This window comes from Homo sapiens, chromosome 13 (genome assembly GCF_000001405.40).
Source record: "Homo sapiens chromosome 13, GRCh38.p14 Primary Assembly".
NCBI classification, from domain to species: domain Eukaryota; kingdom Metazoa; phylum Chordata; class Mammalia; order Primates; family Hominidae; genus Homo; species Homo sapiens.
Window position 1 is genome coordinate 31364534 of NC_000013.11, and position 18601 is coordinate 31383134.

Genomic DNA, 18601 nt, shown 5'->3' on the forward strand with positions numbered 1-18601 from the left:
CCTCCAGGGCTAAGGGATAGCTGTGTGTGCTGAGAGGAACAGGCACCCAGGGGAGTCGGGGTGCAACCGCTTTTTATTTCTATGTTTCCTGACAATCTGTCTTTCCTAACCCCTTCAGAGACCAAATTCCGTTGCTTCTTTTTCTCCTGATGCCTCTGATGGCAGTGACTGCTACCATCATTCCGGCTGCAGCAGGGAGGTGCAGCTGGAGCTGCATATTCCATAGAGCCGGGGTAGGGGGGTCCTGCCCCTTCTGAGTTTGGAGGGGAGCTCTCTGTGCCACTGCAGCTGCCTAAACCACAGGTGCAGACCCAGGCCTCCTGCTCTGCGGAGCAGGTACAGCTGCCCAAACTGCGGCTGTGGATTGGTGCCTCCCTGTGCTCCTGGGGGAGCTTGGGAACAGGCGGGATCTGCCTTCCTGCCACAGATGCAGACCTGGACCTCCCACTCCATGAAGCAGGCAGGAGACTGGGACAAGTGGTAGCCCTGCCTCTTCTAAGTTGGCGGGGTGGGAGCTCCCGGGTGCAGCTGTGGCTGTCCTCCCAGGCACAGGACCTGGGCATCTCTGCAGCCTGCACCCTCGGGGGCCCCAGGAAGGAACTCCCCTCAACCCCACCATCCCTGCAGGCTCGGGGGTGTCTGCTCCCACTGCCTGGCCTCTCTACTCTGGGCGCCTGCTCAGATATCTGAAAGGGTGATTGGGGCAGAGCCCTAGGGCCATGAATGACAGCAGGAGGCAGATTGATTTCTGGCCAGAAGTGGGTGGGTGCCCAGTAAGGCCCCACCTTCAGGCCAGAGAGAGCCTGAAGGTTGGGGGCCTGGCTGCCAGTCCTGCTGACTGGAGCGGGGACTCATGTTGCCTCTTCCATGGCCACCCATGGATCAACTGGCATGCACTTCCTCCCCTCTGAGGTCCGTAAAAGCCATAAGCTCAGCCAGAGCAGGGCAGAAGATGACCAGAAGCAGAAGAGGGCAGAGAGATGGGACCACCAGCTGCAGAGATGACTTGCCAGCAGAGGGGAGCTGCTCTGTCTGCTTAGAGTTTCAGAGACCTGCAGAGACCTCTGAATGACTTGCCTGTGGAGATGAGCCATTCTCTCTAGGGCCTCCTCTCTGATGAGAACCCAACACTGGACAACCTGCTAACAGAGAGGAGCTACCCACTCCTCTGAGCTGTTCTAACACTAAGTAAAACAGTTCCTCTTCTTTGCCCTTCACTTGTCTGTGTTCCTGGAAGCAGGACGAGAACTCAGGCAAAGACACCACAGCCACAGAGGTTTCCGGCCAGAAAAATTGACACCCCAGAGATCCTGTGAACATTTTGGGGGCTTGTTCAGGATCTGTAGAAGGGTAAAAACGATTCTGTCCTGTTTTTTGGAGTCTCTAAACTCCACAATAGTCAAAATGAAGGAAAAATACCGGGCCTCTGTCAGCCAGTTAAAAGTGACTAGAGCAGTTGCAGGACTTAAGACACAGAGGACAGGCTTGCTGGGGAGGACGTTGTCAATCCCCTATCACCCTTGGGTGTTGGGAATGTTGGCTTTGTTCCAACCCAATTTCCCTTCCTGGAGGTCTACCCATTGCATGGGACTGGAAGGAGGTCCTGGGGCAACTGAGGGTATCTGGCCAAGGCCATACCTCAGTATTATCCAAAGGCCTCTGAACTAACTCCAGTCCCCAACTGCCCGTCGGCACTAGGACCTCCAGTCTTTCCTATTGTTGTTTATTTCTTGCTTTCTTTGGTGGCTGTTGTGGTTCCTATCTCTTTTCTATACAGTGTTAAATGTTAAGGATGTTTGTTGAAAACCAGGGATGTTACTGCCTAGAATGAGCATTTAGCTTAGTCATTGAAAGTATAAAATAGAAGATTGAGTAACACAAAGTGGAGTGTGCCTTGGTGTCTGTAAGTAAACTCGTGGTAAAAATGTCCTTGTAGTTTACTTGGTTGCCAACTTAGTGCCAAGCACCTTGAGGCACAGAAAAGAAGCATTGCCTCAGGAAGGAAGCTTTTCTGTAAACACGAGGGCAAATGGTCCAAGGTCCCCCATGTGCAGGCCTTCTTTGCCTTGCAGTGTAACCCTAACCCAGACCTTTGCTGACATTGTAGGATTGATTCAGCCCTCTTAGTGGCCATCTCAGGAGAGGTTACAAGGGCAATCCCAGGGAAGTAGGGAAGCAAACTCCAGAGCTACCTCCAGCAGGGGAATCAATCTTCTCTGCTCCTCCCTATCCAGGTTATCTTTCAAGTTTACCCCAGCCTAGGAATCCTGGTTTTAGGCAGGTCCCAGTCTCAACTGCCCCTACAACAGAGGCCTGGTGAATATGGCCCCATTAAGGTCCAGAGGTCACCCTTTCTCTTCAGGACTTAAGGCAAATTAAGGGGGATCTTGGCAGGTTTTCAGACAGCCCTGATAGGTATATAGAGGCTTTCTAGAACTTAACCCAAGTATTTAAACTCTTCTGGAAGGATGGCCATGTTCCTTTTTGAATCAAACCCTGAAAAGTAGGCCCTTCTCAGCAAGTGGGAAAGAATGTTGGGAATGAGTTTTATTTACATCTTGTATAGGGCCAGGGAAGGGGCGGAACATTATCCAGTTGGAAGAATAGCAGTACCATTGGAGGACCCTAATGGGACCCCAGTGATGAAGTGGGACAATGGAAGGAAAAACTCTCAGGTGTGTATATTAGAAGGCTTGTGAGGGACTGGGACTGGGCCTCTCAATTGCACTGGGCTATCCATGGTAGATCAGGGATTGGATGGGAGTTCCAGTATCTTCCTGGAAAGGCTAACAGGAGTCTTGGTAAACACACCCCTCTATCTCCTGATTCAATAGAGGGACAGCTGGTCCTAGATCAGGCAGCCCCTCGTATCAGGAGGAAGCTGCAGAAAGAGGCCATAGAATCAGGTAGTACCTCCTGAAAGTGGCCACCTTGGTCTTGTACAATAGGAATCAGGAGGCCCAAGAGAGGGAAAGGCGACTCAAGAAAAAGGCAGAGGCTGTAATAGCCATATTGCAGGCTCACAAACCCCAGAATTCTTAAGAAGCACCTGTTGACCTCTGCAAATGTAAACCACTGGAGGGCAGACTATTCCCAAGACATGGGTTGCTGGGTCCAGGGCCAGTGTCCCAAATGGAGCAGCAGGGCTGATGGGTTCCAGGGTTCCTTTTCCTGGCTTTGGTGATTCAGATCATCATTGCCATTTAGGAGCCCTGGGTGATTCTGGGGATTGAGGGGAGGAGGATGGACCTCTTCGACTCTAGTGGGCCTTCCAATTCTCCTCTCCGACCTATGCCCTCCTTTTAGCATTACCGTGAGGGGGTCAGGAAAAGGTCAACCTCTTAGTTGTCACCTTCTTAGGCCGGGTCCCCAATTCCTGGGACTCCCTTTATCTCCCTTGTTTGAGGAGGACCTGGTCCCACAGCTTCACCTGCTTGTGTTAGGGAGGCAACAGAGAGTGGCCCCTACCCGTTGCTAGATGCAATTTAGCAAGGGCCATCTAGGACTAATTTAAAGGGTTCATACACCCTTCTGAGGTACCTTTTTATCGCAACACCTCTAGGGTCTTTCCCCTGGCCCCTAGCAGCATGCTTGCAGAGAGGCATGGCAGCTTGTCTTTAGGTAGATTGCTTATGTTTCAGATAGAAAACGAAATCCTTGTCAGACATACTATTGAATCTATCCTTGAGTGTATGAATTCTCAAGTTTGGTTGCATCTTGTTTAGACTTTGTTCTCAAGTATTTAAAAAATGGCTGGCTTTGTTCTTTAGGATAACAAGCTCCTTTAGTTCGAAAAGCTTCCCACTTCATTTGATGATTCAGTATTAATGTAGTGCCTCTGTGAATGCCAGGGCAGGGTTGGGAGCGCAAGGCCGAGGTCCTGCCATTTGGAGTAAGATTTTCCAGACAGGGCAGGGCTGGGCTGTGAATCTATCAAGACCACCCTGGCCCCTTGCCCTGTGCACAATCCCCAGCAGTCACTTCACAAACATGTTGGTTTAATTCAACTTCAGGACCTCCTGGGTGACTTGAAACAGGAGATTCTGGGTCACTTCTGGCTGGATAGTGACCCTGATGGTATAAATCTTTGATTTTGGGAATTCTGTAGGAAGTAATCTTAAGAATTTAATATGGCAAATCCCTCATTCTCATGACCCATCCAGGTAGCACTTCTACAAAGGCACAGTGAGACAGGTGACACACCAGCTGTCTGCATACAGCCATGTAAGCCTCTGAGGGACAAGAACCAGGCAGGGGTGCCAACCCTGCCCAAAGCATCAGGAGGCTCAGGGAAGCCACCCAGGGGAGTCCTGGCATCAAGGTCAATGTTTGAGCATTCACTCCAGTATATCCTGGGCACACCTAATAATTACTCAGAGACATCAATCTAAATGAGGGCTTTTTTGAGGAACAAAAGCCTTAAGCTACAGTAAATTCTTAGTAAAAACCTACTGGGTTAAAGTTGAGTTATTTAAGGATATACTTTTTTGGCATTAAGACAGCTTAAAATGGAATTCAGATCATTTACCAGATATGTTGGCAATAACCAATAACCCACAAAATATTTGGATTCTTACTATATGTGAGTCTGCATTTCAGTAGCTGAAAGCTTAAGCTTAGAGGTAGTGAGATAATGTATCCAAATGCAAAATGATTTTTCTGTGTAACTACGGAAAGTACCATGATGCTTTTTCCAAGGGCCCACAGAGACTGTCAAGTCTATTAAAAATGGGGTTGGTGAATTGTATTTTGTTGTTTCCCTATATTATCTTCCTATTAATTTAGCAAATAAGGAAGTTAAAGACCTCTTTAGTGAATTAAATATCTTGTTAATGTTACTGTATGATCTTTTACATAGTCAAGACCAAGCCAAAACAAACAAAGACAGATATGGGGCAACCACATTTTATCTCATTAGTGAACAATGGAAGGCATCCAGAGAGGAGGCCAGAGCACTCTACCATAATAGAGTTGCCTTTGATTTGAAATAGAATTTATTTTCTAACATCAAACATTCCAACTCACTTGGTGAAGGGGAAGAAGGTGGTCATCAAGACAAAAATTTGACAGTATTTAGATTTCCAAGTTACATGCTGGTGTGTAGTATCACTACAGAATTTGTAGTGTATAATAGTAGCAGTTAAATCTTATTCTTTATACCACCTGAAACACGTAATCTTACATGAGTTTGTGCAAACAGGAGCATATGTGTTTATGAAATAAAGTCTACATTAAGAGTATGTGGGGAGCAGGAGAGGAGGGAACAAAATGCCGAAGACAGAGACAAGAGAGCAAACGGAATTAAGTGCTTTTCGATATAGTTGGAAAGCAGAGGAGATGTGTGCTGGTGGTAGGTGGTAGGTGGTAAAGTTAAAAAACAATTAGAGAGGTAAGCCAGGACTGGATCCAGGGCTGGATTTTGGCTTGTAAGCCAAAATAAGGAATTTGGACTTCATCCTAAGAGCAATGGGGGACTTTTAAGCCATTTTCAATAGGGAAGAGACATAATCAGATTTGCATTTTGCAGAGATACTTTGATCTGCATTGTGGAGAATAGACTGGAGTGGCAAGGGACAGGGAGCTGTGGGTGCAATTGGAAGAGCATCACAGTTGAAAATGTTAAGAGGATATGTGCTCTCCTTCAATGTCCACATTTCTGGAAATCACATACTAAGAAGACGAAGTCCTCTTGATAAACTTTATCCAGTGGATCCTGACTTCAGGATGGAAAAAGACTCTGTCATAGGCTCTTGCTGCAATGCTGTCCAGCGTCTGTCCAGAACATAGATAGGATTTAGGATATGATCATTGTGTGCATGACTACTTCTCAAAGTGTCTTTGAATCAAATAGGTTGTATGTTAAGGATAACAAACCCTGATGTCTTTTGATATTTCTGGCAAGTAAGTAGTAGCCCAAGAGCCAGGAATCTTCATAATCTCCAAGTCTGGCTGAATGGTTGAATTCATGGCTTATTTTCGCTTTGAAAAAAGTTGGATTTCTCAGTAGGATGAACTTACCGTAACTAGGAAGGCTTGTGTTTTCTAGCCATGTTTTGAAAGACTGAGGAATGCTGAGAGAGAACATGAGAAAAGGTCACCCCAAGACAATGTAAAAGTTTGGGATCGAAGGCTTTCTTCAGTCGAAGATTATAGCATTCATTTTAAGGCTTTTTTTTTTTTTTAAGTTTCAAGGTGCACTGACAGTATACACTGTGTTTGGGTTCTGATGTACACTACTACCTATATTATGTAAATATTTATGATATATATCCTAGGAATCATTGGTAAGAATGATCTAAAATGCTACAGTAGCTTTCTTCATACTTTAAGTAGAATCTCTTGATTCCTAAGGGAAATCACTGAAGAGGAAACTTGTTTGGATTTATTTTGAGAAGACAGACTTTTAGGACATAATTTGGCACCGAAGAGACATCCACAAAAACCAAAGCTGTATTGAGCTACCTATTCTGTTTTCTCCAAAACTCCATTTTTAAACTTTAATAAACACAATTTGTCTACCTAAAATAAGAATGGCTAGAGAGGTTCTAACTGTTGTACTCACTCACTAAAGGTGTATCTTTAGGCCACTTGGTTTTTTTCCTTTCACGGCGTTTCAGTCCACCTCAGTGGGACGGACTCATGCACCAATGTCCAGAACACTTCTACTGGCCGTTGGTTCATGTCTGCAAAACTGGCTTCAGTTACCTCCTTCCTAAGAGTTAGTCATGCACAACACAGCTGATGTTGGTCAACTGACTTTGAACACTGAAGGTAGTTAAAAGATGGAAAAGTGCCTGGTTAGAGATAGATGTGGCAGGTTTAGAAAGAAAACTTAAGGTGGGTATATTTTCAAAGGAGTTGATTGGTATGCCTTCTATTCATATAAGTATACAAAGACAGGGAACTCGCTCTGTCTCCCAGGCTGGAGTGCAGTGGTGTGATCCTAGCTCACCGCAGCCTTGGACTCTTGGGCTCAAACAATCCTTCTGCTTCAGCCTCCCAAGTAGCTGGAACTACAGGTGTGTGCCACCACACCCAGCTACTTTTTAAATTTTTTGTAAAGAAGGGGCCTCACTGTGTTGTCCAGGCTGGTCTCTAATCTTGCCTCAAGCGATCCCCTGGCCTCTTCTTCCTAAGGTGCTGAGATTACAGGGGTGAGCCACTGCATCTGGTGTCTATTCCTACTAGATTTTAATTGAATATTTACTATAGAGCTGTATGGGTAATACTGTGTCAGGTAACATGAGAGGTCTAAAAGTAATCTAAGAACCATCCCTCTTGCCCTAAAAAACTTCCAACAGTTGAAACGATAAGACACATATGAAAAGTTAAATAATAAAAGGCTGTATACAACCACAATAAATGAAGTTGATTTGGGGGAGTATGCAGTGAGGTGTGGGGAGGCCAGGTGCCTTTGAAGGAGAAATGAAGCAGGTGGGGTAATAAAGTGATTTACAAGAAATTATGGCAGAAGAATGTTTTACAGGCAGAGGAGATGTTCTCCAGAAGACAGAAGAAACAGCAATATAAGCAAAATCAGAGATATGAGAGTGTTTTGTTGAGCATCAGACCTCACTGATAAGCTCTGAATTATTAGCATCACAGAGAGGGAGGAAGAGACAGGAGGTGACATTAGAAAGCTTGGACCAGATCACAAAAAATCAAAAAAATTCATGCCAAGGATTTAACTTGTTGACAATGGGGCTTCATCTAAGCTTTTAAGTGGGGAAATGTCACACAACTTATAAGATAGGCATTTTTTATAAAAAAATTAAAAATAATTTAAAGTAATCAAAAGAAAGGAAAACATGACAAAATGAGGCTGCTGCGGTGTTAGACATCAGTGTCCTTTTCATAGCTGAGAAGATCTCTATTCAATGCTGTTCAACATGCTAGGAAATACGATGGTAATGAAAACAGATAAGAAGTGCCCTTCACTGGGCTGTCTTTTTGGGGGTCCTGAATGTCTTCGGAGCAAGTGACCTAATGAGCTACAGAAGTCAGGAGACACAGAAACAGAAACATCAGTGTCAGGAGCTTTGAAGGGCCATGCAGAACTGGCAGGTATTATACAGCAGAGTGCAGAGCTAACACTGCCTGAGGCTGACACCTCAGTGCCCCCTCTTGGTCTCTTTTGCCCCTACTTCTAATCATTAGAGCCACAAAGTTCTCAGGGTTTACCCTCTGCAGCTTTCTCGCAACTTCCTGGAAATCTAGATAAAATACTGAGGTTAGAATGTCAGTGGCCACTCCAAACTCACCTGACAGATCACCGCAGAATAAGAACCGAAACCTGTGAGCTTTCCATAGTGTCATGAGGCCTTTGCCAGAGGTGTGAACTTCCGCCCGAGGGATTCTCCAGGAAACCTGAATTTCCAAATTCTGAACCTGCCTCTGTAGATTGCAGTGGTACTTTTCCCTCTTAACTTTAACCGACTTTGGAGTTCAACATCCTGTCTACCCCACCTTTGAGGCCCTTCTCCCTGTAAGCACTAGCTCTGTTAGCTGGGTTCTGCTGGCCTTCTGAAAAGGACAAAATGGGGGCCAGCAAGAAACTCGGCCAGGTCATGGTTGGCAACAGGTTGGGCCTCAGGACACTGGGAGGGGCAGGTTAGGAAACAAAATGACTAGAGGTGGTCAGGGGAGTCTCGGGGTTGGCCTGAGGGCCTGCTCTATAGAGGTTTGCTTTAATCACAGGCACAAAATTGACCAAATATATTTGTCATTGGTGACTACGGCAAGAGTATGTATGGGATGGGAGGCTGGAGAGACGCTCATTGTCACTCGTTGTATGAGGAATGGATAGGTATACATATTTTAGACTAAAAGGGGAAAGTTCGCCTCTAATTTCAAGCAGGAGCTTTTTATGTTAAAATGTAAACCTCATCCCCCACTTCCTGCCCTTTTTTTTTTTTTTGTCCAACAGAGTCTTTCTGAGTTTGTATTTAGCTGTTGAGATTAGTTTAAAAAACACCTCTCTGATGACCACAGCATGTAGGAAGAAGCTGGGTCCGAAAGAGAGAATGCAATTGCCAAAGAGAACACAGAAACAGGTGCAGCAGGCTTGGGCTGGCCTGAGAGGTCATTAGTGGCCACTGCAAACTTCACCAGCCCAAGTGGAGAGAGGCAGAGCTTCCCATGAATCCAACCAGGAAAATATTGCAGTTTAAAAAACACCTCTCTGATGACCACAGCATGTAGGAAGAAGCTGGGTCCAAAAGAGAGAATGCAATTGCCAAAGAGAACACAGAAACAGGCACAGCAGGCTTGGGCTGGCCTGAGAGGTCTTTAGTGGCCACTGCAAACTTCACCAGCCCAAGTGGAGAGAGGCAGAGCTTCCCATGAATCCAACAATGACAACATTGCACTCCGAGACTGTTCCTCCAGCACCCGCCTAGGCAAAGTCCAGGTCTCAGAAATAAGGACACCACCGCAAGAAGAGGACTCCCAGTGACAATCTACTCCATGGGACACGAGGAAGAGGATTGAAACCTAACTGGGATGTTTCCCTCCCAGCTCTGGCTAAGGCTTACCATCTATTTCATAGCATGGAAAAATTCCAGGCTCATAGCAGCACGCGTTATACAAAGCTTTTAGTTTCCAGCAAGTTTCATTTGTAAGAAAATACACACAATTCACATATACGGTGACCTTGTAATTCTCCCTCCTCCTGCTTCTTTTCCCAGCAAAAATTCTATTTTACCCCCTCATGATCCCCCTTCCAAAGCATTCCTCGGGATTTCTAGGTGCGTTTTCCTTTGGGATCTGAATGCCCCCTTCTACTAGATCACTTTGCTCCCAGAAGCACCTGGAGGGAGGCATGGCCACTTCGTCATGTGCCTAAGAGACCCCCTTCCTCCATTCTCCTGCTCCATTCCCCTCACAGAGGCCACTCCCCGGCTGCCACCAGCTCCCCTGGATCACCCCTCTGTTGGCACTGGAGTGCACATGGTACGGTTCCTTTACACCCCAGCCCTCTCCTTTCTGGAGCATACTGCACTGAGGCGGGGGAAGCCAGACAAGCTCTACCCAGCCTCCCAGGGAGCCACCCAACCCTGCTGCCTGGCCGACATGCTTTGCTGCTCTGCTGTGCCCTTGGATAAACTTCTTTATTCATAAGGATTTTCTCCTGGAACTGCTCTACTTTTCCCCTTCAGTCTGGTTTCTTTCTGGGACACTCAGTCCAGCAGAAATATCTGAATATCATTGGTTTCAAACATCCCTGTGGAGCTCCTTCTCCTTCAGGTTCATCAAGAGATGTGGCTGGACACTGTGTCAGTGGCAGTTAAGAGGTTTCCCAAAGTTCTGTGACAGTTAAGAGGCCGTTTGTCTGCAGCAGGGAGGCTGACCTCTGGGTCAGAGGTCATGACTTCTAAGGTTTCTCCGCTCTGGCCTGGATACAATGTCCTTTTCCACGTGTATAACAAACTATGTATTATTTTCAGTCATCCCAGGTGCATGTTCCCAGCTGAGGTTGAACAAGGCCACAGTCTGCCTTCCCATCTCAGCTCTTATACTATAAGCAAGTGTCATCTTTGTGGTCTCTTTAGTGTCACGTTTTTAGCATTTTTTGTGCTTTTTGTTGGTGACTTTGCTGTTTAAAATGCCCCTGTCCAAGTGTAGTGCTCAAGTGCTGCCCAGGATTGCTGAGTGCAACAAAGGCTGTGATGTGCCTTATGCAGAAAATACGTATGCTAGAGAAGCTCCATTCAGAAGTGCGTTTTAGTGCTTTTGTCTGTGAATTAAATGTTAATGAATCAATAATATATATTAAATAAGGTGTCCTTAAACAGAAACCTACATAAAATAAGATTATGCTTATTGGTTGATGAAAATGTTGTGGCCAGAAGCTTGCAGAGACCTGACTCTGTATTTCCCCTAAGAGCGATGGTTTAGTGTTTGTTAATTCAGCATTCCTGACAACCTTATGGGAGATAGCTACTGTGAATAACAAAAATAGACTATATTGTCTAGAAGAATAAGAGAGTGCATGAACTACGGAAGTATAATACCATTGTTGGGCAGCCATCAGGGCCCACTAGACTTTCAAGATCATGAATTTAAAGTAAGACAATCAATGTGACTGTGTTTTCCTCCAGCTACATTAGTGAGTCTGATGAAGCCATACAGAGGAAGAGCCATACAAGGGAGTGATTATGATGACTGTCCTTTATGGTTTATGTCTGTGTGTGTGTGCGTGTATATATATATATATATATATAGTCCCCCAAAATTGTTAGCATAACGGGAGCCAAGAATATCTTTTTAATTTAAATAAAATTTTTAAAAATGCATATTTCTCTGACATCCCTCAATAAAAATAAAGACTGTTTCCTAGGACATATAAACTGTGACCAATATCTTTGACTAGTAGATACTAGAATTTGATGGCATCCACTCAGGGACACCTGGCTTTCCTTGTGTGCTTTGTACACACTGAGAATTTTCTGGTAAATCAGGCATGATTCAGTTTTCTTTTCTCTTTGTGTATTTAGTTCAGGATTTGGGGGCATCTGGTAGTTTGTCAGGACTGGAATCCATGCCTCACCAATTACTAGCAGAACAACCTCTTTTAACCTCAGTTTTCTCATCTAGAGATAATGTTAGTGTCTTCTCACTGGGTTGTGTAAACTTAAAAGATGATATTTGCAAGGTGCTTTAAAAGTAGTGTCAAACACATAGGATGTCCCTACAAGCTAGTAGTAGTTGTTGTGGTGATGATGATTATGGTACTGGGAAGCTGGCCCATAGTTAGGAATGTAGAAAGTAGTAGCCGCCAGTTCTTACTTCAGACAATAGGGACTGTGTTCTGACTGGAGAAGAATGGGTCTCAGCTCAGACTTGGGAAATGTCTCACCAGGTTCCCGAAGAGCCCACTTGGTATCTTTAGATCATAAAAGAGTAAGATGTCAGAAAAAGAGACATTCTTGGTGCACATACAGTAGTTGTTGGCCTGCCGACCCTGGGCCAGGTCCCAGGCTGTCAGGCCAGCCTGTGGGAGAGATACAGAGAGGGAAGAAGAGGGAGTCCCAGTGGTTGGATGGGGAGGCCACCCTCTGAAACAATCATCAACAGAAATCTTGCTAGAAGGGAGGGAATAAGTTACACATTGAGTTAAGGCCAGATGAAGCTAGAGAAGTAGATGAACTGGACACCACACATTGCTAAACCAAAAAGCTAGAGAGAGGTGAGGCAAGAGAGGGTTGGAGAAAGAAGGGTGCTCCGGGTGAGGCAGTGAAGACAACAAGATGTAGATTAGGGGAAGGACCCACTGGAATGGATCATTATTGAGGGACCCCCCCACCCTGCTTCAGTGGAGGGGTCTCCCTTCCTCTCATGTGGGACTTGGTGCTATTGTTATTGAACCAGAGGCAGGTGGTTATCGTGAAGGGGCCGGGTTGGATGCCAGCAGCTACCTGTCCAAGATTTAGGGAGCAGATACTCAATTTAAAATCTGCCCTCCCTTCTGCAGAGTGGCATGACAATATTTGCAGACTGTATCTCCTATTTTTTTTTAAATTGAAAACTAGATTTTTTTTGTTTTTTGTTTTTGAGGTGAAGTCTCACTGTGTCACCCAGGCTGGAGTGCAGTGGCATGATCTCGGCTCAGTGCAACCTGCACCTCCAGGGTTCAAGCGATTCTTCTGCCTCAGCCTTCCCAGTAGCTGGGATTACAGGCACTTGCCATCATGCCCTGCTAATTTTTTTTTTTTTTTTTTTTTAGTAGAGATGGAGTTTCACCATGTTGGCCAGACTGGTCTTGAACTCCTGACCTCTAGTCATTCGCCCCCCCTTGGCCTCCCAAAGTGCTGGGATTACAGGCATGAGCCATCGCTCCTGGCCTGAAAACAAGTTGTTTTTTGTTTTTTTGTTTTTTTTTTTTTTGAGACAGAGTCTCGCTGTGTCACCCAGGCTGGAGTGCAGTGGCGAAATCTCGGCTCACTGCAACCTCCACCTCCCGAGTTCAAGCAATTCTCCTGCCTCAGCCTCCCAAGTAGAGTAGCTGGGACTACAGGCGTCCACTACCGTGCCTGGCTAATTTTGTATTTTTAGTAGAGATGGGGTTTTGCCATGTTGGCCAGGTTGGTCTCAAACTCCTGACCTCGTGATCCGCTCGCCTCGGCCTCCCAAAGTGCTGGGATTACAGGCATGAGCCACCGCACCCAGCCACAACTAGTATTTTTAATATATCCTTGGGATGGTTGAAAAATTAAGGTAAACAGAATCTAAATGTTCTTCTGGGTTAGCCAGGAAGGGTTTCATGGAGAAAAGTAAGAGGAAGAAGAAGACTTATTAAAAGAAAAGAAACAAAGGGAAAGGGGCAGATAGTTCCAAAAGAGAATTCTCTTTCAGGTGTGAAGAAAGGTCTCAGAGTTGGGGACAAGAATTGAGGAAAGGGAATAGAGATGGAGCTGGCAGTTGCTTGGTAGCTCAAAGGTGGTAAACTTGGGAATAGGAACTGCCAAGGAAATATAGGAAGGGGCTGGCATCCCAAAGAGGAAATTAGGAACTGAAATGCTAGCATTGGATCTGTGGGGTAGAGGAAGAGGAAACTGTGAGAGAGACAGCATTATGACCCACACCATGACGGGTGTGTGGGAGGCTATTAACAAACAGGACGTTTCTTCACCACACAAACAAATGAAGGTGGAGAGGGGTGGCTTGCTCAGCATGGCCACCTGGACTGTGGTTGAGACCTGAGCCTCTAGTGTCAGCCAAGGCATGGCTCTGATCTGTCTTGACAGGAACAAATGCTTGCTATTCAGACACACATGCTCCACAGAAAAGGAGATTTGTAGAAGCCAAAGAGAAAGCTTCTCTTTTCTCTTTGCGTTATACAATATTTGACATATACAAACTAATATATGCAAGTCATGAAGAAAAATGCACAAAGGTACAAAGGCAACTAGAAGAGTACTAATGCCATTGAAATTGTTTCAGGTCCTACTGGATTCCATTATTCCCTGGGGTTAAACCATATTTCAGAGTGATCTGAAGTTGCACTTACCTGATTTTAAGTTGCATTTACCTGATTTCTAATGAGGTCAAGTATCTAAGGTCCATTAGTGTTTTCTCTTCAGTTTGAAATAAGTACTTGTTTAAATCTTTTTCCCATTTGCCTCCCTCATTGGTTTATCTTTTTTATTCATTTGTACGAGGTTTTAAGATTTTTGTAAAGAATTCTCCATAATGACCACTTATCAGTTAAATTTGTTGTAAATATTTTCTTGCTTTTCTCACTTGTCTTTTCACTTGATGACAGCTTTTGTTTAACAGAAGTTCTTAATTTTAGAGTCACAATAATTTTAGAGCACATAGAAATCTGTGAACTCATCACACATATCTTTCCCTCAGGGTGACATGTTACGTAACTGTAGCATGATATCAAAACCAGGAAATTCTGGCTGGGTGTGGTGGCTCATGCCTGTAATCCCAGCACTTTGGGAGGCTGAGGCGGGTGGATCACCTGAGGTCAGGGGTCCGAAACTAGACTGACCAACATGGTGAAATGCCATCTCTACTAAAAACACAAAATTAGCTGGGTGTGGTGGTGTGCGCCTGTGATCCCTCGCTACTCAGGAGGCTGAGGGAGGAGAATCACTTGAACCTGGGAGGCGGAGGTTGCAGTGAGCCGAGATCATGGCAGGAGAATCGCTTGAACCCGGGAGGTGGAGGTTGCAGTGAGCCGAGATCGCGCCATTGCACTCCAGTCTGGCTGGGCAACAAGAGCAAAACTCTGTCTCAAACAAACAAACAAACAAACAAACAAAAAACAAACCCCAAACCACCCCCCACAAAAAATACCCAGGAAATTCACACTGGTACAAAACCATTAACTAGATTACAGACCTTGTTCAGTCTCTGCCAGTTTTTACATGAACTTCTTGTGTGTGTACACGTGTGTGTGTGAGTGTGACCTATATGGTTTCACAGATAAGTTTTACCAAACTTTCAGGAAACAGATGATTCCAATCATATATTACATTGTTCCACATAAAATATTACTATTCAACCCATGGAAAATTGACTCTGAGTAGTATATTTGATATAAGTATGATTCAAGTTGTAATATCGAGAATTTACAACAATATTGTGCTTGTCAATTTTGCTTGACTATTGAAGTGACTTTTTAATTGTTTGTATTTTTCCATAGAAGTAAACAATATATAGTGCCCTTGAAAAAAATGCAAATGAATACTTTCTTATATCAATTTAAACCGGAACTCCATACAGCTGAGGCAGATAGAAGCACCATTTTGCCTTTGGAACAGCTCTTTTAGTAAAAGGATTATTTAACGATAGTTTGAAAATTTTATTCTAGAAATTAGAGTTTCATAATTGAATCTCAAAATAGATCCAAGTCTGTTTTAAATAAAAACAAATTAAAAGCCAAGCCACAAAAAAATAATTCAGAGATTTGGAACCAACTCAAGAAATGTCTACTAAGAACACCTGGCTACAGTAGGGGAAGGGGAAGAAATTGGACAAGTGACTCTAACATCATTTCAAAATAAAAAATTTAAAAATACACGGAACTGTTGCTTCCTACTTTTATTTTCATTTCATGTATTTTTAAATTGTTTCTGAAACAGACACAAAGCATGCAGTATTTACCTCTCAATCCACCTTACTGTTGTTCACACTAACTAGAATGGAGTCCCTTAAAAGGCTGCTAAAAAAGCAGAGTTTCCACATTTATTTTTTTCAAACTTGGCTCCAAAAAAAAAAAAAAAAAATCCCAAGAAAGTAACCCACAGTTCTTTGTCTACCATCTGAACTGTAAGTTAGTATAAATAATCTAGTTTTATGGGAATAATAGACACTGTGGACTACTAGATGGAAGGAGGGAGGAAGAGAAGTGTGGGTTGAAAAACTACCTGTTGGGAACTATGCCCACTACCTGGGTGCACAGGTACCCATGTGACAAACTTGCACAGGTACCCCCGTCTCTAAAATAAAAGTTAAAATTTTTTTAAATCTAATTTTGATAATAATTAAAGAGACAAGGGTGGATAGTGTCATCTACTGAATGATGTCCAAAGAGCTTCATAAAGATGATAGTTAAATGTTAACCCATCCACAGGAGGTAATCATTAGAGCATTATTGTAGCAAATCCTCTCACAAACTTTGTATTCTTAGGTTTCTAATACCAATTTAAAATCCCTTTGATTCATTTGGTGCCATTGCTTCACAGATCCATTTCCAATCCCCGGAGTGTCAGAGATTACTCTGCACTCTAACTTGAAAGTTCCCTCTGTTCCCAGGTATAGAGGCATTTTTGCAATTGCCCGGTGGAAACTTTTTTGTCATCTCTCCTGTCAGTATTGCATTAAGTGCACTCAGCCCACCATGTGGGCCTTCACTTGTCATTTTAATGGATCGCTGGGCTGCTGCTACAAAGGAAGTCTGTCCAGGAAACACTATGACTGGAGAGCACATTCAAGAGAAGCTCACAGAGCAGTGATTAGTAGGAGCCTTTTCGCCCCTATTGAATACCAGTCTTTTTATAGCTGATTGTCAGAGGCTTTGAAAATAAGCCACCTTGTGAAATGAAACAATGTGTCCACATTTTGGATGGATAAAGGATCCAGATTCATTTATGCAGTTTATGAAAAAACTAATAGTTTTTAGCAATTAAGCTACTTTCAATTTTAAGTCTATTTCTAATGTTCTAAAATTGAAATGGTAGAAATATTTTCACACACCGTGTAATTCCTTTTTCTGCCATGGGTGTCCGTGGATGTCTCAGGCTGGTCAGTCAATTACATGCCTCAATTCTTTGCCTTGACCAAACCTGCCGCAATGATGGGAGAAAGACTGCCAGCATCAGGAGAGTATTTTGTGCTGTCAGAGACCTCCGAGGTGAAAATAGTTGGCTGTATTTCTTGTGCCTTTGTGCAGTGGACAGTCCTATCAGGAAGAGTAGACATGAGTTGGAGAAAGTGCTGAGTTGAGATAATCACTGCTCTTCTGGCCTTGAGCCTTTTCTGTACACAGCAGGGCTGCACCAATCTTTGTTCCTTCAATCTTCCATGAGGCTTCCTTGGATTTCTCCTTTTCTTCACCCAGAAAGGGTCCCCTTAGTTTCCTTGGAAGCAGACTACTTGGTAGAAGAAAACTGAGTGACTCCCACATTTCAAATGTATTATTATTATTAATATACTTTTTAGTATTGTCATTTGCTTCATTTAAAACTGACTTTGGGCCGGGCATGGTGGCTCATACCTGTAATCCTGGCACTTTGGGAGGCTGAGGTGGGCAAATTGCTTGAGCGCAGGGGTTCAAGACCAGCCTGGGCAACATGGCAAAACCCGTCTCTGCAAAAAATACAAAAATTAGCAGGGTGTGGTGATGTGCCTGTAGTCCCAGCTGTTTGGGAGGCTTAGGTGGGAGGATCACCTGAGCCTAGAAGGTCAAGGCTGCAGTGAGGTGTGATCACGCCACTGCACTCCAGCCTGGGTGACAGAGTGAGATCCTGTCTTAAAAGAAAAAAAAAGTACACGAAAAACAAACAAAAACCCCTGACTTTGTCTAAGTTAATGTTGGAAAAAGAATTCTAATAATTTTCAAATATTTCCTTTTATTCTTTTTTCTCAGCTTTCTCGAGGTATGATTGACAAAAATTGTATATATTTAAGGTGTACAATGTGATGTTTTGATTATATGTGTACTTTGTGAAACGATTACCACAATCAAGCTAACATATCCATCATCTCACCTAGTGTCTTAGTTCATTCAGGCTGCTGTAAAAAAAGACCTTAGACTGGGAAATTTATAAACAACAGAAATTTATTGATTGGGGTTCTGGAGGCTGGGACGTCCAAGATCTGGGCACCAGCAGACTCAGTGTCTGGTAAGGGTTTACAGTCTGCTTCATAGATGGCGTCTTCTTGCTGCATCCTTACGCAGTAGAAGGGACAAACAAGCTCTCTTGCCCTCCTTTGTCTCGGCTTACTGCAAACTCCACCTCCAGGTTCAAGCAATCTCCTGCCTCAGCCTCCCGAGTAGCTGGGATTACAGGCATGCGCCACCACGCCCGGCTAATTTTGTATTTTTAGTAGAGATGAGGTTTCTCCATGTTGGTCAGGTTGGTCTTGAACTCCTGACCTCAGGTGATCCTCCCACCTCGGCCTCCCAAAGTGCTGGGATTACAGGCGTGAGCCACCGTGCCCGGCCTCTTGCCCTCTTTTGTAAGGGCACTAATCCCTTTAACTAAGCACCTCTGAAAGTCCCCCCTTCTTAATACTATTGCATTAGGAAATCAGTTTCAACATATAAATTTTGAGAGACATAAACATTCAGACCATTGCACCTAGTTACTATTTTTGTGTGTGTGTGGTTCTACTCTCTCAGAAAATTTTAAGTATGCAATACATTACTATTAAGTATAGTCTCCATGCTGTACATTAGGTCTCCGGAATTTACTTGTAACTCAGGAATCTGTACCCTTTAACCAACATCTCCCCATTTTCCTCCACCCCAGACCTTGATAACCACCATTCTACTCTCTGCTTCCATGAGTTCAACTTTTTAATATTCCACATATAAGGGAGATCACACAGATTTTGTCTTCTGTGTCTGGTTTATTTCATTTAGCAT

At 44.1% G+C, this 18601-nt stretch overlaps 1 long non-coding RNA gene across 1 annotated transcript; it reads right to left on the reverse strand.

Moving 5' to 3' along the window:
* Positions 1–5360: 5360 nt before the first annotated feature.
* On the reverse strand, positions 5361–10261 carry LOC124903148 (uncharacterized). Its single transcript, XR_007063745.1, has 3 exons — positions 8262–10261; positions 6563–6765; positions 5361–5772 (listed from the first exon to the last, which is right to left on the reverse strand). It is a non-coding gene; the product is annotated as an uncharacterized LOC124903148 (long non-coding RNA).
* Positions 10262–18601: the final 8340 nt, after the last annotated feature.